The sequence below is a fragment of the Homo sapiens genome, chromosome 5, assembly GCF_000001405.40.
Source record: "Homo sapiens chromosome 5, GRCh38.p14 Primary Assembly".
In the NCBI taxonomy this organism is placed as follows: Eukaryota; Metazoa; Chordata; class Mammalia; order Primates; family Hominidae; genus Homo; species Homo sapiens.
In genome coordinates this window covers 178,321,926-178,347,475 of record NC_000005.10, presented here as the reverse complement: position 1 = coordinate 178,347,475, position 25,550 = coordinate 178,321,926, and the positions used below count along the sequence as shown (strand labels likewise).

The 25,550-nt window shown below is 52.4% G+C and overlaps 1 protein-coding gene and 1 pseudogene across 11 annotated transcripts in view, besides 1 other annotated feature; one reads left to right on the top strand and one right to left on the bottom strand.

Moving 5' to 3' along the window:
* The window catches only part of COL23A1 (collagen type XXIII alpha 1 chain), a 352,776-nt gene that overhangs the window by 242,918 nt on the left and 84,308 nt on the right, over window positions 1-25,550 (top strand). The window lies entirely within an intron of this gene.
* Window positions 1,959-2,659, bottom strand: MRPL50P3 (mitochondrial ribosomal protein L50 pseudogene 3; annotated as a pseudogene).
* Window positions 15,606-16,212: an enhancer, noted in NCBI's record as "H3K4me1 hESC enhancer chr5:177758265-177758871 (GRCh37/hg19 assembly coordinates)". NCBI's record gives its function as "activates a minimal SCP1, AML or CMV promoter by ChIP-STARR-seq in naive H9 embryonic stem cells {active_cell/tissue: H9 hESC(naive)}" and the evidence as "EXISTENCE:reporter gene assay evidence [ECO:0000049][PMID:30033119]".

Below are 25,550 nucleotides of genomic sequence, written 5' to 3'. Positions count from 1 at the left end.
CATCACCCCAGAGAGAAGCCCTGGCAATCCCTCCCCATACCCCTCCCCCCATGCCCGTCCCCCAGGCTCTGGCATCCCCGTGTCTACTTCTTTCAGTCTCTCTGGATTCGCCTGTTCGGGACATTTCCTGTGAGTGGAACCATACACAGTGTGGCTTTTTTCACCTAGCACGTGTTCAAGGTTCATTCGTGGCTATTTAAATTTAAAAAGTTAAATGAAAGATAAAATCCAGTCCTTCGGTCACACTGGTCATATTTCAGGTGTTCCACGGCCACCTTTCAGTTTCCGTGTGGGTGGCTCAGCGGACGTTTCCATCCTTGCAGAAAGGTCTCGGGCCAGTGCGGCTCCCAGTGCCTCAGTGCGCGGTGAGGACAGGGAGGGAGGGGGAGGCGGCCTCAAGCAGGGCCACCAGACCCTGCTGGGCCTCACCCTGCTCACCAGATGGGCATGGACTCAGGTCCCCTTTTCAGGTCCCTGGAGGCCGTAAGGAGACCCACCAATGATTTTTGCTGTTTCACAACCTCTGAGGAAAATCATGCCTTGGTGAGGTATCAGCCTCCCAGGCCAACCCAAGGCTGGGTCGCTGGGATTTCCGCTGGAGCTTTATCAGCCCAGTGTGAGGCTGGTGTCTATCTGCAGCCTTCAGAGGCTCCGACGGGCCGCTGCATATGACTCTGATTAATCATGATGGGAAAACAAGTTAGCTGTTGCTACGTAAATGCAGCTTGGGACACATGATCTTTTCGGGGGGAAGGAAAAGAATGAAAAGGGCCCTTGTGTGATTTCAGCATCTACAGGCAACCATTATTAGCATTCTTGTTGATAGCCTTCAAGAGTCAGATTGTGGGGAAGTATGTGAAGGGGCATACATAGAAACATGCATGTATGTATATTAAGACGTATGTACATATGTCTGTTTAACTTCAAAAGATCAATTTGTGGCCAGGCCTGGTGGCTCACACCTGTAATCCCAGCACTTTGGGAGACCAAGGCGGGTGGATCACCTGAGGTCAGGAATTTGAGACCAGCCTGGCCAACATGGTGAAACCCCACCTGTACTAAAAATACAAAAAAATTAGCCAGACATGGTGGCAGGCCCCTGAAATCCCAGCTACTGGGGAGGCTGAGGCTGGAGAATAATTTGAACCTGGGAGGTGGAGGTTGCAGTGAGCCGAGATCGCACCAATGCACTCCAGCCTGGGCGACAGAACGAAACTCCATCTTAAAAAACAAACAAACAACAACAAAAATAAATAAATAATAAATAAATAAATAAAAAGATCAATTTAAACCCATAGCTTTTCTTTCATTCCTGACAATTTACAGCGATTTTTTTTTAACAAATCTACTTTAATTCCAAAAGAAATTAATCTAGAATGGTCAGTAATATACAACATGCTTTTATGTTTATTTTATAGATATCTAATACAAGTTTATTTGTATATGTGCAATGTATAATAACTCTATAACTCTATCTTAGATATGAGTCCTAACAGGATGAAAATATTTTCTTGTAACTACTACTTTATGCCTATGAAGGGTGTGAACTTGCAGTGTCCTCCTGTCTTAAACCCAAGTGAATGACCATGTCCTCCCAAAATTTTTCATAAATTATTAATGATCTAATTTCATTTTAAAATGGTTTCAAAAAGTCCGGGCGCAACGGCTCATACCTATAATCCCAGCACTTTGGGAGGCTGAGGCAGACAGATCATGAGGTCAGGAGATTGAGACCATCCTGGCTAACACGGTGAAACCCTGTCTCTACTGAAAAAAAAAAAAATACAAAAAATTAGCCGGGCGTGGTGGCGGGCACCTGTAGTCCCAGCTACTCGGGAGGCTGAGGCAGGAGAATGGCGTGAACCCAGGAGGCGGAGCTTGCAGTGAGTCGAGATCGCGCCACTGCACTCCAGCCTGGGTGGCAGAGCGAAACTCTGTCTCAAAAAAAAAAAATGGTGTCAGCAAATACGAAAATAGAAAGTCCTGTTATTTGCCCATTCATAATATGAGAAAAAAAAAAGAGATGATACATTTCTCTATAGAACAAGTGTGTTTAGAGAACAGTTCTGGTAGTATTTCACATGGTGAAGTTTCAAAAGGTCTAATAAGCAGGCCCCTTGCTCAGGGAAAAAAATGATTTCAATGTGTTTCTCTTCCGAATTGCTCCAAGTGATTTTCAAACTAGGGGGCAGATTACTGGCACCGAGTTCATCAAATTTAGGTCTGTCTTGAATAGGGACATTATAGAAATCAAGAACATCTCTAACCCCGCACATCTGGTGGAGTCTGGAGTTAGAGACTACGTGACCCAGGCCATCAGCTAAATGTGCCAAGAGATTGAACTTTAGATGACCATCTTCCTGGGAGATGTCGTGCCAATTACCAGGAAGAGATGAACCAAAAGCTTCTTTAACATAAGATTCCAAATGACTCTGGAGATCTCCAGGTGGTGAGTATCCTCAGCTTCATGAGGGTGGACACACTGCAATAGGTTCCTTTTTCACCTCTTCTGTCTCAGCAACCACTGGCACTTTCTCTTTTCTGGATCGAGACCCAAATTCTCTACGTGTTGTCCCTGAGACTGTCCACATGAAGACTCTTCTGGTAATGCCAGACACAGATCGCCCCGCCATCTTCAATGAGATCCATGGGCCTGAGCTACAGTGATCTTAACAAAGAGAAATTTGGAAACTTTCTGGAGGCAACGGGCATACAGTAGGCCCTCTGTTTCAGTAGGTTCTGTGTCTCTGGTTTCAACCAACTGTAGATCAAACATATTAGGAAAAAATGGGTAGTTGTATTTGTATTAAACACAGACCTTTCTTTTTTTTTTGAGACAGAATCTCGCTCTGTCGCCCAGGCTGGAGTGCAGTGACATGATGTCGGCTCACTGCAACCTCCGCCTCCCAGGTTCAAGCGATTCTGGTTGTCCTGCCTCAGCCTCCTGCGTAGCTGGGACTACAAGGGCACGCCACCAGACCTGGCTAATTTTTGTAATTTTAGTGGAGACGGGGTTTCACCATATTGGTCAAGCTGGTCTCCAACTCCTGACCTCAGGTGATCCACCCACCTTGGTCTCCCAAGGTGCTGGGATTACAGGCGTGAGCCACCACGCCCGGCCACAGACCTTTCTTCTTGCCATTATTCCCTAAACAACTGTGTAAAATACAGTGTAACAACTGTTTACATAGCATTTACATTGATTAGGTATCAGAATCTAGAGACAATTTGAAGATGTGTGTAAGCTATGTGCAAATAGGACATTATCTTCTGTAAGGGACTTGAGCATCCATGGATTTTGGTATCTTTTGGGGGTGCTGGATCCAATCCCCCACAGATACCAAGGGATGACCATACTTATATTACTGCAAAATAAAACCAGTTTCTACACGTTCATTTCTTTTCTAAAAGTTCAAGTGATGGGCATAATGTAAAAATTAGGGATAGACAGCTGTCTTGGACTTTTGGAGAAGAGAGAAATTTGGGTTCAGAATGGTCTTTTAAAAAACATTTTAGGCCGGGTACGGTGGCTCACGCCTGTAATCCCAGCACTTTGGGAGGCCAAGGTGGGCAGATCACGAGCTCAGGAGATCGAGACCATCCTGGCCAACATGGTGAAACTCCATCTCTACTAAAAATATAAAAATTAGTGGGCCGTGGTGGCGTGCACCTGTAGTCCCAGCTACTCAGGAGGCTGAGGCAGGAGAAGTGCTTGAACCCAGGAGGCAGAGGTTGCAGTGAGCCAAGATCACGCCACTGCGCTCCAGCCTGGGCGACAAGAGCAAGACTCCGTCTCCAAAAAAAAAAAAAAATATATATATATAATGGAAAAATTCAGATGTTTGCACAAGCAGAACAGTGTCATGAACTCCCATGCACGGACCCCACATCCAGCTTCAAGAAATTTCAGCTGTATCCCATCCACACCCCTTCCTCTTCATTCCTCTGATTTATGACTTAGTTGTCTTTCTTCTAAAAAGCCTGTAGCTGGATTTTGGCTTCTATCCAATCAACAGTCTTTGCCTTTTTACCGACAAGTTTATGGTTTCAGCTTGTCCCCTGCCTTTTCTAGGTTTCTTGGTTAATCCTTTCTTTTTATAAATAAAAATGTTATCCATATGTTCCTCGGTCACATGACTGCTCCCTCGTGTCCCAGGATCTCCCCTCCACCTAGTCCCCATCCTGTCACTCTCTTTCTCTTCTGGATCTTAGCTAATTGATGGGGGTGGAGGCGGGAAACAGTCTTCGCTTCGGAATCTGATCACCCTTTGATCTTCTCATGTCTTGAACCATGTGCTGGTCCTGAGTGTTTCCCACGTGGGTCTTTATGTGGCCAACTTCTAGGGCCTTCTGTGGTTGAGAATGTGTTGGCCATGCCCTCACACTTGGGTGACAGTTGGCTGGATGTAAAATTCAGGGTGCAAAGTTCAGTACTCAAAATTTCAGTGTTCACTTCGGTACTCAAAACCATTATTCCTCCCCTGTGGCCTTACAGTCCATGTGGTTGTTGGAAAGTGTGGTTCTGTCCAAGTCTTGCTCCTTCGTCATGTTCTCTGCTCTCTGGGGACTTTTAGGCATCTCTCTATCTCTGATGGTCTTAAGTTTCACTCGAATGTGTTGCAGTATAGATTTTCTCTTACTTCTATTTGGAATTCTATGGGCTTTTTCTGTTTGTTTGTTTTTTTTTTCTTGACAAGAATGAGACTTTAATCAGTTTTAAGTGGAGTTTATAACACTAAGAGATAAAGGGTTGTTAACAAACACAATCACAAATGGACATGTGATTGGGATGAGGCATTATCCTGTACACATCATATTGGGATTTTTGTGTATCCTCAGTGCCCAGCATTTACACACAGAGCCACTGCTGCACAGCCAAACTCAGCAGGGAGCTTCAGATGCTCTGGCCGGTGGGACCTGGGAAATGGGGCATCACTCAACCCAGGGAAGCTCAACCCAGAGCAGCAGCCTGTGTCTCCGCCCAGGAAACTGCAGGTATCAAGGGGGCCTTTGAGCCACTGCCCAGACTGCCCCTGCCAGCCTGTGAGGCCACCTTCGGATGAGTGAAGGCCAGGTGGGTGAAGACATGGAGCAAACAGACTCAGGATGATAAATGCAGGAGGGGAGTTGTGGCCTGAGAAAAAGGATGCCAGGAAACCACCTTGGTGCTAGCGATTCCACATAGTGAACTGTAACCAGCTGTCACCCGGCCAGATGGCAGTCCCCATCCCAGACCTGCTGGAGCTCCAGGTGGGAGACACTGTCCTAAGTGCAAATATTCCTCCATCGTGGGCCATGTGGGAACTGCAGCCGCACTCAGCAGCCTTCCGCAGAAGTGGTTCAGCAAAGGAATCAAAGCACTTCCTGGCTCAGAGCTGGGCACTGAGGAGATGATAACACAGCAAACAGCGGTCCCCCTGCCATGGAGCTTTCGTTGTGGTTAGAGGAGACAGGCGGTAAATGAGGGTTTCACAGGTCCGAAGGTCGGTGTGTTACGAAAAATGGTAGGCAGGTGAGGGCAATCTCCAGTGCCGGGTGAGAGCGAGGGTGGCAGTTTTCCATGAGAAGGTGGCATGTGAGCAAAGACGTGAAGGCAGTGAGGGGCTCGCCAGGTGCTGTCTGGAGGAAGACAGGCCCCAGAAACAGGAAGAGCCAAGGGTCAGGTCCTGAGGCGGGCGGGGTGCCGGCTGCTGCTGGAGCAACAGAGACTACTGTGGCTGAAACGGGGATGAGGGAGAGAGGTGAGTGGGAGACGAGGTCAGGGACAAGAGGCCCAGGTCTGCCAGCAGATCGGGGGCAACCTGTGGGCAGGTGGGCAGGCCACACCTGAGACCCTGTGCTGGCTCCCCAGCCTCTTCCAGCCTCACCCACCCAGGGCCCAGAGCAAAGCCCAAGGCAGAGCCATCCGTGGAAAACATCTGCCTCCCCACCCTTGTCCTGTTTGCTTGTAGATTTTGAAAACAAAACCTTCACTGGGGGACCCCTTTGCTCAGGTCAGAAGAGCCAGGCTAGCCAGGCCCTTCCTCCTGTGCTCTGGGGTACCCGATTGGAGCAGGGGTCCGGGAGAGGGCCACCAAAGTGTGCCCTGCATGGGAGGCCTCAACTCAGGGAGGCTGAAGGAAGTGTTGACCGACCTATCTTGGGTTCCCCAGCCAAGGTTCTTATTCTCCTTGTAAAGACCTGACGGGTCAGGCATGGTGGCACGCACCTGTGGTCCCAGCTAGTCCAGAAGCTGAGGCGGGAGAATTGCTTGAGCCCGGAAGTTCAAGGCTGAAGTGAGCTCATCGCACTACTGTGATCCAGCCTGAGTGACAGAGACCCTGTCTCAATAAACTTTTTAAAAAAGAAGACCTAGTGGGGCAGGCACTGGACAGGGAGTGGGGGGATGCAGCCAGGCCCTGCTCCACCATCAGGAGCCATGTGGCCCACAAAAGGTCAGCCCAATTGTCTCAGCTCAAGGGACTCAGTTCCTCCATCTTCATAATGGGGGAAATAGAGCTGGTGGGTATGGTCAGTATGAGGTCTAAACCAGCTGATCTCTGCCTGGCAGGACAGCCACCCCTGCGGGGTCTGACCTTGAGCCCCGCGCCCATGCACATCAGCCATGCTGCCTGGCCTCACGCTTCATGCTTGCAAAGAGAGCAACAGCATGGCTTTCTGGATGGAAAGTGGGAGCACCATGTAAGAAAAGCCAGGCCTTGCCCCGGCCACCTCCATTCCCGCCCACCTCCATTCCGGTGAGACTCCCTCACTGCCCCTGGGAGGGCCGAGGACTAGAATCCCCGGTGTCCAGTTTGCCATCAGCCAAACACATGCAGAGCCTTGATGGGTATTCCCTGTGTGCTCTGGGACCATCAGCTTCTCCTGAGAGAACTTCAGGCCACTCCTGACCTCTGCGTCAGCCCCTGGATTTCCGCAAGATTCCTAGATGGTTCGCATGCACCAGGGATTTGAGAAGCTCTGACCAAACGGAGCAGCCCACACTGTGGGCTTCAGATCCTTCAAGGCTGGAGTGTAGCTGGAGTCGTGGTGTGGAGCTGGGCTCTTCAGTATCTAAGGCAAAAGCAGAAGTGAACGTTAATTGCCAAGGAGACCAGCTTTTATTTCCCCTTCTACCCCTCCTGCGCTGGAGCCACCAGCAAAGCTGTTCTGACACATGCTTCTTGGATAATTGTTTTTCTTACATGAGCACATTTTTTGGTGAGGCTTATTGCTGGTCAGAAAGGTGTCCTTGTTCTCAGCCAGGCCCATCCCTGCAGCAGGCTCCCTGCCTAGGAACTTTCATAGGTGCATTCCTCATGAGAACGCTGTGAGGAGGGAGTATGATGCCCATCTCATGGCTAAACATGTGAGATGCCCAAGGTCAAACAGCTAGAGACAGGCAACACCAGAATTCATCTCCCTAACCCGTCCATCCATTCATCGACCCCTCATCCCTCTACTCATCTCTTCATCCCCCAACAGCCACCCGCCACCCACCCATCCCACCACCTAATCATAAGTCATTGTTGCAGAATCACATTTTAGGTGGGATTTTTATTCTTGCATAAGGCAAAAATTGTACATGTTCCAAATCACTCCTGAAAATCTCTCAGGTTACCCATGAAAGCCAGGAATGCTTCCTCTCTCTGCCAGCCCCACAGAGCTCCAGTGCTGGGGAAAAGCAGCTAGAGCTGGCATTCAGAAGCCCTTGAGTTCAAGAAAGTCTTCATCACCAAACTCCAGAGTTCAGCTGGAGGCTCCCACCCCATACAAGGCAGTGGGAAGTGAGGCCCACTGAGGCGCTGGCAGATTCACGTCCCCCCACTCATGTTTACTCCAGTGCATAAAGGAACATATCCTCAGTGCTTACATCATTTTTCTCTTATTTTCCCCCACACATGCTAGCTGGCTGTGAGGTCAGTGAGAATGCCTCTCCACCACACAGCCAAGGATAGGCTCAGTCCCACGCCATCCCCTCATGGCTTCAGCTGCCTGCTGGTCAGTGCAGGATCTGAGGCTGTAGTAACAGGAGCACAATGCCTTGAACAAGGGAGGTGTTTTTCCTGCCCTGCTCTGCTCTGAGGCTTAAGGATCTCATTTCGGGAGTCTTAGTGCAGAGGGACAGAATGTATTGGATGGGGCAGGGCCAGAGAAGGTTTTCAGGATGGCGGAGGCTTGAGGAACACACACCCTGTAGAGATAATTCTGGAAACTGTGGTCGTGGCTTTGCCTGTCCATCTCTTAGGAGGTTTTGTGAGGAGAGGTTGGGTTTGTTCTGTATGGCCCCAAGGACCCAGACGAGTGCTGAGTGGACCTGAGGCAATGGGTTTTAGTTCAGTGGAGGAAGAGCTCTCTAATAGGCAGAGCTATCCAAAGACAGCATGAACCTCTCTTTGAGGTAGTGAGCTCCCAGTCAGGGGAAGTGTTCAAGGGGAGGACACATGAGCACTCCTCTGGAGGCTGGAAGGGAATTCCTGCCTAAAGCAGGAGCAGTGAATTCATGACCCACAGGCTCATGCAGCCCTGAGCTTCTGTTTCCAAGCCCTAAGATGTGTTGTTGATAGAGACAAGCCTCAGCCTGTCTCTGGCCTTCATTCAGCTGTGATAGTCTCATCGGGTTTACATGTAATTTAGACAGATTCCTGTTAAGCCAGAAGGAAAAAGAGGCAGAGGATCCCCCTTGTGTGGGCACTTGGTCGCCCTCTCTTCTGATGCCCTGGATCTGCATATCCTCAGCTGGTCTCTGTTCCCCAGGACCCCCCCATTAACCAAATCATCTGGAGTTTAAGTACATGGTTCCCACCAAACACAAGCCGACTTCTCTACCCGATGCTGGCCAGTGACCCAGGAGCAACACCTTACCCGGTGCTGGGTGACCCAGGAGCTACCCCATTCCCGGTGCTGGCCAGTGACCCAGGAGCTACCCCATACCCGGTGCTGGGTGACCCAGGAGCTACCCCCATTCTTGGGGGAGCAACCTGCTGCGCTGCTGTCATTAAAGGGCTTCCAGGATGACGGCAGCGGCGCCCCAGCTTGCACCTGAGCCACAGTACCATGCTCTTTGCGGGAAGGCAGTCCTTGCTGAGAGTCCTGTGGGTTGTGGGATTAGCACCTGCTGTCCCTGGGGCTTCATTCTGAGGGCTTGACCAGCCTTTGCTATCTCACTGTGCCCTCTGGACTGTGCCCTCTGGACTTCCTGGAGATCAGGCCCTGAGACTGACACCGTCCCTCTCTGGCCAGCCTGGTTCTGAGGTGGGTCTGTCTGACTGTGCCAGCTGTGCTGTCTGCCTGGGTCCCTGGCAAGGCTCAAGGGACTTTCAGAAGCACCTGATACCAAAAAGTCATGGCTAACAGCATGGACCCTGGAGTCAGACCGCATGGGTCAGTTCCCCTGCCCATACTCCCAAGACTCCCAAGATGTGTGGCCCCAAGTACAGCCCCTCCGTTTCTCAGCTTGCTCTAACATGGAGATAACAGTGGCTGCCACTTCACGGAGTTGTCAGGAGCCTGGGTGAAATGATACACGCAAAACACAGTGCCTGGCATGAGGTCACTGCTCCATAAATGTCAGGGATTATAATTTTAACAATAATAATGAAAAAATATATAAACAAATAGATTGTATAATATCATAAAATATAATAATGATTAAAATTATCATTTTTTTGACTCCTCCATGACCCCATGAGCCTGTTTGTTTCCATCACCAGACGCTAATGGTGGACAGTGAGTGATGCTTTCGTGCCAGGAAGATGGGGGGTGTCTGTGGAGCAGCCTCAGTCTCTGGGGACAGAGGAAGCCTGCAGTCCTGGATGGCGGGGAGAGCAGTGGCTCCTGAGTGTCCCCAACCTCCTGCCCCCTCTACAGCGCCTCCCCCAGCCCGGCAGAGCCCACCTACCCCCAGAGCAGGGAGTCTGGCCCTGGAAGGATGCTCTCCATAACCCTGCACCCCACTCCGTCTCTCTGTCTTTCCACCCACTCTGGATGTGTGGAGAGCCTGGCAGTCAGCCCAGTTTCTGGAAGGGTCTCATGTGTTTGAACTCACTCCAATTTATGGAACCAATTTTCAAACTAAGGAGAGGTGACGTCTGGACTGTGCCATTAGAGCCCGCCTCCAGAGTGGAAAGGTGGGTGAAATCTGTTGGTTTACAAACGCTCCAACTCCCACGGGAACCTCTGCTCCTTCCCGGGGTCTGGCCGGGGATCACCGGGACAGGAACACGCATGCTCTCCTCGCCCTCACACGCGGGTCTCTGCGCTCCAGCAAGTGCACGCAGGCTGTGGGGAGGATGGCTCCACACTCAGACCCCTCTCAGATGAGCGAGGCCGGCCTGGCGCAATGTGTCGTGGCCCACACGTGCAACTTCCATGCTGCACATTCCCTGATGTCCTCCGCAGGCCCCCCTCCCATGGGAAATCGAATTCCAATAGGGGGCAGGGACAGACTGGAGAGATCTGCGTGATCCCTGTTTCCGCCGCTCTGAGCAGCTCGCTGGCTCCGGGGAGGAGTGTATTTACTCTTTGCAAGTGCAAACCCACGCCTCGGTATAGCAGAGGCCTTGGAAAAGCAGCTGCAGGAAAGTTGCACTTGTTTCAGCTTTGCCTTTTTTTGTTTTTTTCCTTCTACCCTCTTAGGAGAGCCAGTTTTCCCTCCTTTTAATTTTTGTTTTTAAAAGCACCGTTAAGTCCAAGATGAAACAGATTGCTCTGCCAAAAGGAAGACGAACTATTAGCTGGATTCTTTTTTAAAATTATTGAAGTGAAATTCACATCACATAAAATTAACCAGTTTAATGGAACATTTCAGTGGGGTTGAGTACATTCCCAGTGTCACACCACCGTCACTTGTATCTCGTTCCAAAGCATTTCAGCACCCAAAAGGATACTCCTCCCCTGTAAGCAGTGGCTCTCCCCGGCCTCTGCGTGGCAACCACCAGTCTGTGCTATCTCTGGTTGACGTATTCTGTACTTTTCATATAAATGGAATCACACAATCTGAGGCCTTCTGTGCCTGGCTTCATTCACTTAGCACAATGCTTTCAGGGTTTATCCATGTCATAGCATGTATCTGTACTTCATTCCTTTTTATGGCTGAATAATATTCCATTGTATGGATAGACCATGTTTTGTTTACCCATTCATCAGGTGATGGCCATCTGGGTTGTTTCTGCCTTTCGGCTGTTGTGAATAATGCTGCTAGGAACATTCGTGTACAAGTACTTGTTTGAACACTTGTTTTCAGTTATTTGGGATATATACCTAGCAGTGGAATTGCTGGGTCATATGGTAACTCTGTGTTTAGCTTTTTGAGAAACATCTGAATGCTTTTAGATGTTATTGAACACCTAATGTGTGTGCCAGCCTGTGCCGGGTTCTTACTTCACCTCACCCTCCTCAGAGCCCCAAAACTCTAGGCTTCCCTTGGGCACCTGGCTTATTCCACTCATGCTAAAGAGGGCTTCTTCGTCCCCATTAGCCTGCCACTTGGATAAGGCAAAACGAACCTCAGAAACAGACACCAAACATAGCCACCTAAAAGCTGGTGATACAGCAAGGCTATTTGCTTATCCCAAATCCTTTGGAATTCTTGGCAAAGACATGGTAGATCAATTGTAGCTCAAATATAGTGAGCAAACTGGCATTTTGCAAGAACTTTGCCAGTGAACTTTGCAACTTTGCAAGAACTGTGCAAGAAGTTCGCCACAGTGATCACTTTGCCAGTGATCACAGTGTCCTAGGTCTAGTTCCTAGACCTGGGAGCTTGCTGCGGATCTTCCTCCTTGAATTGTCCATCTATGCTGAAAGCAGGCAAGGCAGAAACTCCTTTTTGGTCTCTCCTCTTCATAGGGAGATACTGAAACTGCAGTCTCTATATGGCTGGAAGGACTGGCATATTCTAGCACAAGGGTCTCCAGATACACATGGACCAGGCCACCTGCCCTGGCTCAGTTTCAAGAAGGAATATCTGGTACATGCCCAGGCGCTGCATATTCAGCTCATGAAATAAGCAGGAAGTCATGTGATCTAAGCAGCTGACATCTTTTTGTCTTCCTTATTCCTTCTCCCGGCGCAGGGGGACCGCTCTTCCTATGGGACTGGATTAAAATTCAATTATGCCTCTTGAAATTCCTGGTTACCATGAGGTAACAGAAAGCCCTTCCATCACTTTAAATCACAGAACACACTTGTGATTTGTAAATTATGTTATCCACTCCAAAATTATTATGAACACATCATTTCTCTTCAAAGATCTGAGTGGCTAGAGGGTTTAAAATGTAGCATTCCTGTGAAATCCCACCTTTCATTTTTAATTAGGAAACATTGCTGCTGAACACGCCTCCTTGGTTGGCGCACCAGGGCAGGCCCTCCTCAACTTCCCGTTACTGTGTTTGGTCTGTGGCCCTGAGCCGCTCTGAGACTTCCCACTTACCAGGCTCCCCAGCCTCAGGGCTGCTCTTAGGGACGCCTGTGGTCTCCACCTATGGAGGAAACCCTTCGTGCCTTGAACAGAATGTCGGAACGTGCTCATCAGCCCCATCCAAGTCTGGGGTGTGGGGGAGGCACAGGCTATGTGGTCAGCTGCCTGGATCTGAGGATGTCACCTCATTACCCACTAAGTGTGTGACACTAAGAAAGCCACCTCTTTGGGCCCTGTCATCTTACCTGTAAAATTACTAATAATATTCCCACCTCCTAAGACTTGGCGGAAACGTGTGAGACAACATATGTGAAAATACCCAGACTACACCAGTCCCTTGGTTCGTGTCATCTAGTGGGGTTCGTGTCGCTGTCTTTAAGTGCAGATGGCAGGTAGGTGACAAGACCCATGTAGGTAATTTTCTTGGGAAGTGTCTCTCCCTTGAGATTTCCCATGTGTAAGGGAACACACAACTTGGGGAAATCAAACCATGGGTGCCGCTAGGTAACACTCCCAGCGGGAAGCCCTCACATGTGCAAGCAGTAATCACCGAGTTATGGTCCTCTTTGAAATGCTAATGTGGACTTGTTCCCATGAGCTTATTTCATTTGAGGAACCAGAGGCACGAAGAGGGTGGCCTGTGCCGGCCGGTGCCGCCCGGTGGCCCCCTTCCTGCCCACAAACGGAAATCATTTCTTTCGGCAAAAGGGCAGGATTGGCTTCAGGGGCATGGGCTCGATCCAGGCATGTGCTTTGGGCACGTCATGAGACTGATCTCAGAGAATTGTTGTGGGTCGTCTTGCTGATGTGGACACACCCAGCACTGCGCCGGGCACACAGTGGGAGTTTAATAAACGTGAGGTGAGGCTGCTTAGAGTCTGGGGAACTGAAACGCATCACAGCCGCACTCCAGAGAGCAGGAGGGAGGCAAGTCTGCAGTGGAGGGCAGAGAAGACCCAGGGTACCCTTAGCCCACAGCCTTGAGGACCCGGACATCCCCAGGGCATGGGGTGGAGGACAGGGAACTTGGCTGCAACCTCCCCAGCTACTCCCCTGTGGAGAAAGGGAAAACCTCTCTCCGAAGGTGCACAGGCATTTCCAAGATCTGGAAGGGGGACTGACCAGGGGCTCACGCACTGGACAGTGAGTCCAGCTGCCCCTTGGCTACCTCACGGGCCCTGTCCAGGTCTGGGGACCTCATATCACTGAGACAGGAAGAAGCAGGGTGGATCAGCCTTCCCCGTGCTGCGTTCTCTAAACTCACCCCAACACCCTGTTCTACCAGGATGGATGCTCTTGAGACCCCAGGAGCAGCCCACTTCCTCAGGGGGCCAGTCACAGGCCAGGCTTGTTCTGCAGATGGACGTCCTCCCAGGCCCGGCCTGGGGGCAGAGGCCCTGATGATCACCACCCAGGATGAGGAGCGCCAGGATGGAAGGGTGTGCAGGGGACTGTGGGCGCCTCAAGACTGAAGCCTCGGGTCCAGGAGGCAGGGGATGCCTTTCACAAAGGGCTTGATCACTGGGACCAGGCCGCACAGGCATGTTGCCAGGCAGAGGAGTGAGGACATGAAAGGGCGTGGCTGGGTGGGGAGGCAGCCTGGATAAGGGACAGAGATAAGAACTGTGGGTCCCTGCATGCAGGGATGGTGAGGGAGGACGCTGGATTCATGCCAGGGGCCCTAAGTGCCATCATCAAGAGCTGGAACTTAACCCTGCAGGCCATGGCCACAAAGGCAGCCACAGGCCAAACCCAGACTTGGAAGGTGCTGACCTTCCAGGGCTTTTTTGGCCTGCATGGTGTTTTTTAAAACATGAGTCGGCCGGGCGCGGTGGCTCACGCCTGTAATGCCAGCACTCTGGGAGGCCGAGGTGGGTGGATCACGAGGTCAGGAGTTCAAGCCCAGCCTGGCCAAGATGGTGAAACCCCGTCTCTATTAAAAATACAAAAATTAGCTGGGCACGGTGGCAGGCGCCTGTAGTCCCAGCTACTCTGGAGGCTGAGGCAAGAGAATCGCTTGAACTCGGAGGGTGGAGGTTACAGTGAGCCAAGATCGGGCCACTGCACTCCAGCCTGGGCAACAGAGTGAGACTCCGTCTCAAAAACAAACAAACAAAAAAAAACAAACCATGAGTCAAAAATGAAAAATAAGAGATATTTCACATCAAAATCCCGATGTCTGGCTTCTCTTGAAAAATGGAAAGATCTGGAAACGGTCAGTGTGAACTATCTAGGAGCCACTCCCTCTAGATAGGATATCCCGTCTCCAGGGCATCACAGTCCCCTACTCCTGGTGTCCCTCTGGCCTGGAAGTCGAGCGTCGATCACCATTTACCATGGGGCTTGCATGCTTTTTTTCTAATAAAGGTGACTTGGAACCACATCTCTGTTAAAATCAAACATAGACCAAGTGGGCTGCCTTGTGATTTTAGCTGAACGAGTCTGTTTCTTGTGTCTGTGTAACCTGTGTATCCCTGTAGGCAGCGGAGTTTGAAGCCCTGCCAGGGAGTCATGAAGGAGTTTCTCAGGATTTATAGTTGCAGACGGCAGAATCCACTGCAGCCAGTTTAAGCCAAAAGAAAAAAGGGTAGTGGGAGGTTATTCAGGGGTCCAGAGACCTCAAAGAACAGTGCCTCCAGGAATGGTTCCCAAGCTCTCCTGCCAGATCTGGAAGCTGCCTCCCAGCTGCTGGCTCAGGATCATGCTCTGTCCCCACCCAATTCTGCCGAGTCCGAATCTCACTGAGACACCTCTGATGGGTGGACCGTAAATCACACCTGCATCCTAGCAGCCAAGGCAGCAGGGAAATGTGCAGTGAGTGCTGGAAGGTGGGGCTTGCGCTGTGGAAAGCATCCAGGTGTGGAGAGGGTGACCAAAAGCTGCAGACGACCACTCCAAGCTCTGGAAAGGGAGGTAGCTTTGGTGTCTGGGGGTGTCACCAGCAGGGATCTAGCCACGCCACTCACTTTGCACCCTGGGGTAGTCCCGGAGCAGGACCTTCACACCGCCAGAAGGCTCCTGAGCACACAGTGCCAGGCCCAGCTCAGAGAGAAGGTCACCCCCAGTCTCCCAGCAGCCTCAGAGCCTGGGATGGTCCCTGGCTGGCTAGTCAGCCAGGCCTCCAGCAGCCTCCCGCAGCTGTGCCCACCCTCTAGCCAAGTGGCTTTGCTTGGCTTTTGCGTGCCTTCCTCCTGGCCTGGCCCTGCCGGCTGACTGCCCGGGCTGCCGGTCAGGACAGCTGTGTCACTATTTCGGAACTCTTTGTTCTCTTTGTGGAATTCAGAGGAAGCCTGTGCCAGCTAGGAGACTGGGCTCAGCTATTTCCCAGCAGCTGATAACAGCTGGGATTAAAAGATGAAAAACTCTGCACATGGCCCAGCCCTGCCTGTAACCCAGAAGCCAGGCGCATGTGTCTAAACTCAGGCGCCCTATGGTGTTTACTCCTGCCCCACCCTCCTGTCGGTGGCTGCCTCTGTCCTCAGAGCCTCGCCCTCCCTGCTCCGCACCCTGCCCCGAGGGCCGCGGATTCCTTGGGGACCATTTACAGGGCTCTGAGGCACCTGGCCGGGTGCCTGCTATGCAGGGCATCATATGAGCCTCACAACAATCCAGAAGACAAGTGCCATGTTATGCCCAGTTTACAGATGGGGAAACTGAGCCTCAGGGAGTGTAGGTGGCTTGCCCAGGGCCATGCAGCAGGTGACTGGAGAGCTGGGACCCACCCAGGTGTGTTTGGCCTCAAAGCCTCCACCTTCCATGACCTCACTTTCCTCTGATTTGTAGGCGCTGCAACTGCCTCTGCCAGATATACCCAGAAGGGTCATTTCTGCCTTCCAGGAGGTTCCTTTGACACAGAGCCACCCACAAGCCGCCCAAGCCAGTACCCCAGAAGGGAACATAGCATGACAGCGGAGGCAGTGCCTCTGCCAGCTTGCAACTTGGGGCCAGTCACTCCTTTTGTACTGGGCATTCGTGTTCTCATTTCACTTATTCAGCCAATACTTATGAAGCTCCTACTGTATGCCAGGCACTGGGAAATAAGAGAGACGAGGTTTATCCGGCTGAGAAGTCTGCATTCTAGCAGAATGGAAACATGCAATGAGCCAGGACAGGATGTGACAGAGTGAAGGCGGAGCTTGTTCAGTAGGACTGCCAGTGGGTGCCTCTTTGATGAAGTGACACTGAGCTGAGACCTGAGTGACAAGAAGTAGCCAGGCTGGGGAGTGGGCAGGGCTTCCCAGGCACAGAGCCCACCTGCCCTGAAAGAGGATTGTGCAGCTGGGGTGAAAGAGCAGAGAGGAGGTCCTAGTGGTTCACTGGGTAGAGGGACCTGAAATGAGAACAGAGACGTGTCAAGGGACAGATCAGACAGGGCCACACAGGCCAAGGTGAGGTGGCTGGATCTTTTTTTTTTTTTTTCTTGAGAGAGGGTCTCACTCTGTCACCCAGGCTGGAGGGCAGTGGTGCAATCTCGGCTCACTGCAACCTCAAACTCCTCAGCTCCAGCTATCCTTCTGCCTCAGCCTCCAAAGTAGCTGAGACTACAGGTGCACACCATATATGTACATATATAGTATTTTTTTGTAGAGACGAGGTCTCACCATGTTGCCCAAGTTGGTCTTGAGCTCCTGGCCTCAAGTCATCCTCCCGCCTCGGCCTGTGAACTACTGGGATTACAGGCATGGGCCACAGCGCTCAGCCATAGCTCGATCTGCACCCGTGTGCAGAGGGAGGCTTCAGACGGCTTGACCCAGTCAGGAGGGAGTAACACCACACAGGGTTGCTGTGAGGACTGAGCACCAAATAAACTGAAAGAGGTCAAAGCCGACAGAATACAGTGCGTGTGTGAGTTGAGCCTTCATAAATGGGCAGGAGACCCTAGGCCCTTCTTCTGCAGGGAGGGCAGCAGTCCCAGGGTCCCAGGGGCCCAGGCTTTTCAGGGGAAAAGCCTGCAGGGAGCATCTCTCCCCCCTGAATACTCTCCCTCCTGGGACCTTCCAGCCAGAGGACGCTACCCAGGCCTCCGCCGCCTGGATCTTTCAACTGATGGCGCCATAGTCACAGGGGATGAGGACACCAGGGAGCAGGCCACTGGTAGCTTCCATGTGAGCCTTTCTTTCTTCTTTTTTTTTTTTTTTTGAGACAGAATCTCACTGTGTCATCCACGCTGGAGTGCAGTGGCGCAATCTCGGCTCACTGCAACCTCCGCCTCCCGGGTTCAAGTAGTTCTCCTGCCTCAGCCTCCTGAGTAGCTGGGACTACAGACTCCTACCAGCACGCCTGGCTAATTTTTGTATTTTTAGTAGAGATGGGGTTTCTCTATGTTAGCCAGGCTGGTCTCGCACTCCTGACCTCATGATCCGCCTGCCTCGGCCTCCCGGTCCTGGGATTACAGGCGTGAGCCACTGGGCCCAGCCATGTGTGAGCCTTTCATCCTGCATCCAAGTGTGGGTGGACTGCGATGGCCCAGAGAGAATCTTGAGGGGACAGGTGTGACTCGGGGTCCCTAAGAGCCTGGTGGGTGCGGGGCGTTTTTGGACTTCCCTTGGCCCTACTTCTGGCTGAGAAAACAGTGGCCATTCCTGGTGGGGGTGGGTAGGCATGGGTGCTTTTTGGGGTCTGTGGACTATCTGCCTCCTGGCTGGCAGGGGGAGCCTGGGGCCTGGCTTGTGGAGAGTCTAGGGCTGGCTGACAGACTTGAGGCCCCACTCTCTTCATCTGGCTGGGATGCAGTGGGAACTGGGGCCCCGTCCAGTTGTCTGAGCAATGGAAGCCGACTCGGGTGAATTCGAAAGTCAGACAAAGCGGATTTCCATGTTGGCTGGGTCATCTGCAGAAGAAATCAGATACAGTAGTTTTCACCTGGGAATAAATTTGTTTCACGAAATTTGGAAATCAATTTGGCAGTGAACTTTCTAGCAGGCTATGGGGGACAGTGAGCAGAAAATCCAGCTGACACTTGAAACCTGAAATTGGCCACCTGGAGGGGGGCTTTCTGCCTGACAAAGGGGCTTTGAGCTGCCAGAGCTGACAGTGCTCGTTGGCTGGGGAGCCTGAGGTCTGATCCAGCACCCCCAAAGCTAGAGCCTCCCGGGGTTGGCTGTGTTCGTGCCCATTTCTGTATCGGCAGGTAGCCCTCATTGTCTGCTTCTCAGCATTCTTATTGTTGCTGGTGTTTCCTTTCCTGACCTCTCTGCCCTTCTGGAAGTAGTGAAAATGAATTTGTACATTCAGTCTCCACCCTTAACTACCAGGCTCCTCTTATTTTTCTAATAGACCCCTTGCGTTACCTCTATAACCGTCTAGAACTAACGTTGACGGGGGTTGGTTTAGGTTGTGTGTCGGCACCAAACAGTACATTGTCATCTTTTTTTTCGAGTAATTAGTTGAGCATGCACCCCCTTAAACGAAAGACTTCAGTAGAGGCTTGAACACAAAATGACTCCTTCCTTTCTGAAGCATAGTTTTGAGGGAAAGCCTTACTTTATACTCAGCCATAATGCTAACAGCTGCTCCCTAAGAAAGCCATGAATAGACCCATTTCACAGGTGGGAAAACTAAGGCCCAGAGCCGTTGAGTTACCCAAGTTCGTGGGAATAGCCTATGAAAGAGTCAGGATTTGTACCTGGGTCTCTCTTTACCAGGCTGCTCTGCGCTAAGAAGGTGGCCGTGGACTTTGGTTTTGTTCCTCTAGTGGAGACTGGCCTGGCTAGTGTTAGAAAGGCCCCTTGGATGAGGATCAGGGAGAGGCTGGATGGAAAGAGCAGAGCCTGGGGGAAGGGAGGCCCAGAGGTGAAAACGCAGTGGGGCGTGTGGACAGGGACAGGGGGGATGAGGAACAGGAAATTCAGTGGGGACGTGTGGGAGTGGATGGCAGGAAGGATGGCCCCAGACATTCGCCGTGGCAGAGGAGGAACCCTTGGCCAAAGGGCAGAGGGGCCGCCCTGCCCTCCGCACCCAGGCAGGGAGGCTGGGTCTGCCAGCTCCCAGGGTTCTTGGTTGGACCGTGCCGCTCTCCACAGGATCCAGAGCCCAGGCCTGGCCAGAGCCTGGAATTGGGCACGCACAGTCTCTGCTCTGCAGGCAAGGTCCTCGTTGTCAGTCCTTCAGCCCTAGCTGGGAAAGCGAGGTGCTGAGACACAGCAGGGCTTGCCGGGGTCCTTTGAGCACTCAGTTTCCCACACAGGGAGAGCAGCTTGTCTGCCAGGACTGTTCGGGTAGCTCTGAGCTGTGTGGGGCGCAGGGAGAGTCCTGACCCCAAATAGTCGGACCTAGGTCCTGAACACCCAGGAGGCCTTCAGAGGGGAGCAGGTAGCCCAGTGGTTGGTGCTGTCCTGAGGGCCACATGCACTGTCTGCACCCCTGGACAGAGGGTGCAGAGGGCCACGTGCACTGTCTGCCAGTGTTCAGACTCCAGCACGTGGGCTCTGCTGCGCCTCACCCCTCCAGTCGCCTGAGCCCCGGTCTCCTCCACCGCAGAGTGGACCTGGCAACACCGGCCCCCCAGGACTGCTGTAGGAATCACTAAGGGAGTGGCGAGTCTGAACCAGCCCATTCCAGAAGACCATTCCTGGCAGATAAGGTCTCCAAGGCCCTGGAGTGGCCATGAAGTCTGATCTACCCCAGGTGGCTGCCTCACTGGTTCTGGGAGACAGGGAGAGGTGGGCAGGTTTTCCATAGGTGTTTTCCGTAGCCCCTTCTGTACCCAGAATTGTTCCCAGGCATCAGCGCCCGTTTCCCGACACCCAGGGCACCTGCACGTGTCTCTAATAGCGTTTCCCACACTGTGCTGTAATTGGCTGTTTGCATCTTATCTCCCAGATTATTGTGAGCTACTCAAGGGCAGGAACTGGGATGCACTCACCGAAGTATCCCAGTACCTTGCACAGAGTGGGTCATTAGTACATCTTTGATGGATGGCTGGTCAGAAAGACGAATGAACAAAGATTGCTAATTTAATGGATGGATGAATGGATGAACCAATATGCAAATGGATATTTGATTGTCTGGATGAATAAAGTCATTCATTCACCCCCGAATAAGAATTGAGTCATTTTTGGCCCGGTGCAGTGGCTCACGCCTGTAATCCCGGCACTTTGGGAGGCCAAGGTGGGCGGATCACGAAGTCAGGAGTTCGAGACCAGCCTGACCAGCATGGTGAAACCCCGTCTCTACTAAAAATACGAAAATTAGCCAGGCGTGGTGGCAGGCGCCTGTAGTCCCAGCTACCCAGGAGGCTGAGGCAGGAGAATTGCTTGAACCCAGGAGGCAGAGGTTGCAGTGAGCCGAAATCGCGCCACTGCACTCCAGCCTGGGTGACAGAGCGAGACTCCGTCTCAAAAACAATAAATAAACAAAAAGAATTGAGTCATTTTTCTAGGGCTGGAGAAATGGATGAATGATGAGGTGGGGGAACGTGAGTGGAGGGAAAAGAAAAAGGAGGTCTGAGGGAGGGAGAAGCAGATAGAATAACAGGTGAATAAATAAAGAGAGGACGAACTGGAGAGATGCCTGCGTGGACAGATGGCCAGGGCCCACATGTTCACGGTTTCTTCTCAGGGTGTCATGTCTGTGAGCCGAAGGAATTATTCCAAGGTCCCAGCAAGCTGGGGCTGGGAGTAAGAATCCACAAGCACTCTCGTTCGGTCTTTTTTTTTTTTTAAATGTTCTCTCTAAATAAACTTTGAATCCACTTCCAAGTATGTTTGGAAAGAGCAGCGATGGCTTTCATGGAGGGTAAATTATAAGTGCTTCAGTCAGAGCTGTGTTTAGGGACGTTCAGAAATACACGCATTCCCCAGAGCCAGTGCTAAAGTGCGTAGGAGACAAGAAACATATGCTGGCTATGGGGCCGTCAAGCAGGCTTGCCGCGAGCACGTGTGCTTCACTGTTGATGGAGTATTCGGCAAGTGTTCCAGAAAGAGATCTTTCCTGAAATGGAGGTCAATGAGAATACTCCCCCGCTCATAAATCCTTGGGAAAAAAAATGGGCCTGTCTCCCACACACATGGAGCTTATTATCTGGGGTCTCGGGTGCTCCCTGGGGAGTGGTTAAGAGCCGTTTACTAGGGCTAGATCCACTCAAGTGGTTTCCAACAGCCCTGGCTAGAAAGACCCCGGCGGCTCACCCTTGGTTCATAAACTGGCATTTCCCACCGCAGTGGACAGACTGGGCAGGCACAAGCGCAGGCACGACAGTTAAAAAGGGAAAAAGGCCACATGCTCTCCATTCCCAGTGCACGGCAAACATCAGACCCAGGCACAGGCCGCTGTGGACACCCTGGAATTGGGAGCCTCTTTGCATGGTCATTGGTGAATGTCCACCTTGGTCCTGTTTAGCAGGATTCTGCCTGGGCCTGGGCCACTCAGAGGACCTAGACCAAGCCAACACGGTCCCAGCTTTGGGGAGCTCGTGGTCTGGCAATGGGACTGATGGGCAGACGGCTCCATCCCAGTGTGCTAAGTAATCACTGTAGCAAGTGGATTCCCTGGCCCAAGAGTAAGCAGCTGGGAAGGCTAAGACATAAGTCCATGTCCTAGCTGGGTATTGTAGGATGAGTAGGAGTTTTCCTGGCCAAAAAAAAAAAGAGGGAGAAAGGATGTTGGAGACTTGAGTAGCACAGCTCAGGGGGTGTAGCATGTCCAGGCCAGGTGTCTGGCTAAAGGTGGGCTAGGAGTAACTCATGGAGGGCAAGTGGAGCTGGGCGGAACGGGCTGGAGAGGGAAGTCCAGGCTGGCCAGGGAGCGCTGTCCCAAAGACAGCGGGGAACCTGTGGATGCCTTTAAAGGGAAGTGGCATGATCCGATCTCTGGCCTAGAAGGATGGCCCTGACTAAAGGGTAGGGAATGAGAGGAAGGAGGCAAGAGAGGAAACGGGGCAGGCAGTGGGGAGGCAGCGACCCTGGAGCCTGGAGCCTGGGGAGACGCTGGTATTGGACCTGGAGGGGACAGAAGTTCAGCGTCTGGTTCTTTCTCTTCCTGACTGCGTGACTTTGAGCGGGTCACTCAGCCTCTTGGGGCTGCAGTGCACAGCTGCAAAGCTGGGAATAGTGATAGTGGCTGCTTCGCGAGGTGTTTGTGAGGTTCATGGTTAATATGCCTAAAATGCCCTGTAGGGCCAGCGTGCAGACAGTGATGTAGAAGCTCGGCTTTGCTGCCACTCGGATCTGGAGGGGTGGGCAGGAACTGTGGATGTGATGGGGCCACCTGCAACCCCCGCCGAGCTCCCAGGTAGGTGGCGATGCTGCTCACAGAGCCTGGGAACTCAGTCAGAGAGATTAGCGGGTGGGGAGAGGACCTTGGTTCTGGCCATTCGACCCATTTCCGTTAGAACTGGTGAGGCACTTCTGTCCCAGCTCATTGAATCCTGAGGCTGGGTGCGCGCTTGTGGCACGGACCACCTGGGGCGGAACCCCAGCCTTGTGGTGTGTGTGGCCTCGGGCCAGTGACTCGCCCTCCCTTGGTAGAGTGAGAAGGTGGTGGCTTCTGCCTGGGAGGTGGCTGTGAAAAGCAACGGAGCGACTTGCGTGACAGGGCTCAGAACAGGACTGGGCACTGCTCCGTAAGCACACCCCACGCAGCAGCGGTCGTGGTCATTGTAGTAGAAATCCTCGCCGGCGGTTGATGAACCCAGAATGGGTCTCCCTGGTTTTTGCAAACTCACAACTTGACTCCAGCCATCCTGAGCGCATAAAAGACAACACAGCACGGTGAAAAGCACATGAGGCTGGAAATATTTCGTAAAAGAGAAAATAATATTTAAAGACAGAGAAAAGGAAGCCACTTGGTTTTCAGAGTGTGTTTACCAGACCAGCCCGGCATAGCGTGTGAACTTGTTGAAAATGCAAATTCTCCAGCCCCACTGAATCTGAAACGGGGGTGGGGCCAAGCACCCCCTGCACCTTCCAGAGTAACCCCAGCCCTCGTGCCCCCAAAAGGGCCTCAGCCCACCCACACCCCTCACAGCACAGGACCTCAAGAGGGAAAGGAGCTGCTTGTGTCCAGGGCCGCCCAGGGACCTCTGACTGGACAATGGCATCTGAATAGATGGAGAGACCCCAGGCCGTCACATTTCTTTTTCTTTAAAAAAGAAAAGGCAAGTGCTTTGGAATTGAACACATCCGGGTTTTCATCCCAGCTCTGCCACATACCAGCTGTTCCAGCTGTGTGACTTGGGACATATCACTTCTCTGTGAGCCTCTTTTGCTTCATCTGCAAAGGAGGGTTGATGCTACCTCCTGGCAGGGCTGCACGGACTAGAAGAGCAGACATCTGGACAGCCCAGCACAGCGCATGGCTCATGGTAGGTCCACATGTGGGAGCCACCTCCCTGCTCCCTGCAGCGTTCCAGCGCCCTGCTCCAGGGAGAAGGGTCTTCCGAAGAGCTCTAGAAGCAGCCAAGGTGACGGTGGCATCTCTCTAGTGCAGAAGCCCAGGCTTGCACTGGATGCAGGACCTGGGACCTGCAGGATGGGGCTGCCACTCCCAGCAGGGGCTCCCAGCTTCCCAGCAGATCCCCCTTAGCCTCTCCCCAGGAAGGACCCTCTGCGGTTAGCCCAACCCCACTCAAAGCAGCACAGGACCTAGGGAGGAAATGAAAGGGACTGCTTGTGTCTGGGGAGACCAAGAACTCTCTGACCACACTATAGCATCTGAATGGATGAGAAACAGCCCCATGCAGTCCCCAGGGTCCCCACAGAGTAGGGGCCTTGGGGACTGGGGATCAGAGCAGGGAGATCAGTTACCACAGGGCCCTTTGTGGGCAATGAAATGGGTCTGGAAAGGGCAAGAGCTCAGGACCACGGACATTCCCTGTGCATCCACCCTTTGCCAAGCCCCAGAGACAGGCCAGCGAGGGCCCTGCCCTCCAGGACCACAGGGCATGGTGAGGACCATTTGGGTCTGATAACCACACACAGCTGGGCTGCCCTCACCCCCAGGCTCAGGAGCCCCTTCTGCTGCCCCAGATCCAGGCCCCTGCCCACTTGCGACCCCCTACTCCTACAGCGCCACATGCCACCCCACATCCTCCACCCCGTCCTGCTTAGCCTCCCTCCGAAAGAGCCAAGTTTCCAGACACCAGGAAGGGCCCTGCAGATGGAGACTGGCTCTGCAAGGGCATGAGCACCCCTGAGCTGCCAGGGACAGCATGTCCTCGAGTGGACCCACTGGGGGCACAGCCCACCGAGCTATCCGCCTGTCCCCAGCCTGCCTTCCCATGCTGCGTTGTGGTGCATGCCTGTGTTGGGAGTGTTGCTGCGCATGGAACCCCAGGGACAGGGCTGACCCAACTCCCGGTCCCTAGTGCCTGCAGGGCCTCCCGTGGGTGTCCCTGGAATGACCACATGAGTGACAGGCCCTGGGATTGGGTACAAATGCCCATTTTGAGACGGAGGAAAGTGAGGTGTGAGAAGTTTAATGTCTGCGGTTACCTCGGCTCATCTTCACATGACCTGGAGAGGGGTCAGGGACCCCCAGGCAGGAGCCAGCTCGTTTGGCAGCCCCCAGGCAGGAGCCAGCTCGTTCCAGGTCACACTCACAGAAGCAGCGCGCAAATCCAGATCTTTCCCCTTTGGGAAATGGCCTTTGGGATGGTAGGGATTCTGCCTCTCCTGTTCACAAGGGAACAGATGAAAATGATCTTTTGAGGCCACATGCAGCGGCTCATGCCACCAACACTTTGGGAGACCAAGGCAGGTGGATCACTTGAGGCCAGGAGTTCAAGACCAGCCTGACCAACATGGCGAAACCCCGTCTCTACTAAAATACAAAAAAAATAGGCGTGGGCCAGGTGCGGTGGCTCACGCTTGTAATCCCAGCACTTTGGGAGGCTGAGGCAGGCGGATCACGAGGTCAGGAGTTCAAGAACAGCCTGGCCAACACAGTGAAATCCCGTCTCTGCTAAAAATAGAAAAAATTAACTGGGCGTGCTGGCGGGTGCCTATAGTCCCAGCTACTTGGGAGGCTGAGGCAGGAGAATCGCTTGAACTCAGGAGGCGGAGGTTGCAGTGAGCTGAGATCACACCACTGCACTTCAGCCTGGGTGACAGAGCAAGACTCCGTCTCAAAAAAAAAAAAAAGTTAAAAATTAAAAAATAGTCAGGCGTGGTGGTGCACACCTGTAATCCCAGCTACTTGGGAGGCTGAGGCA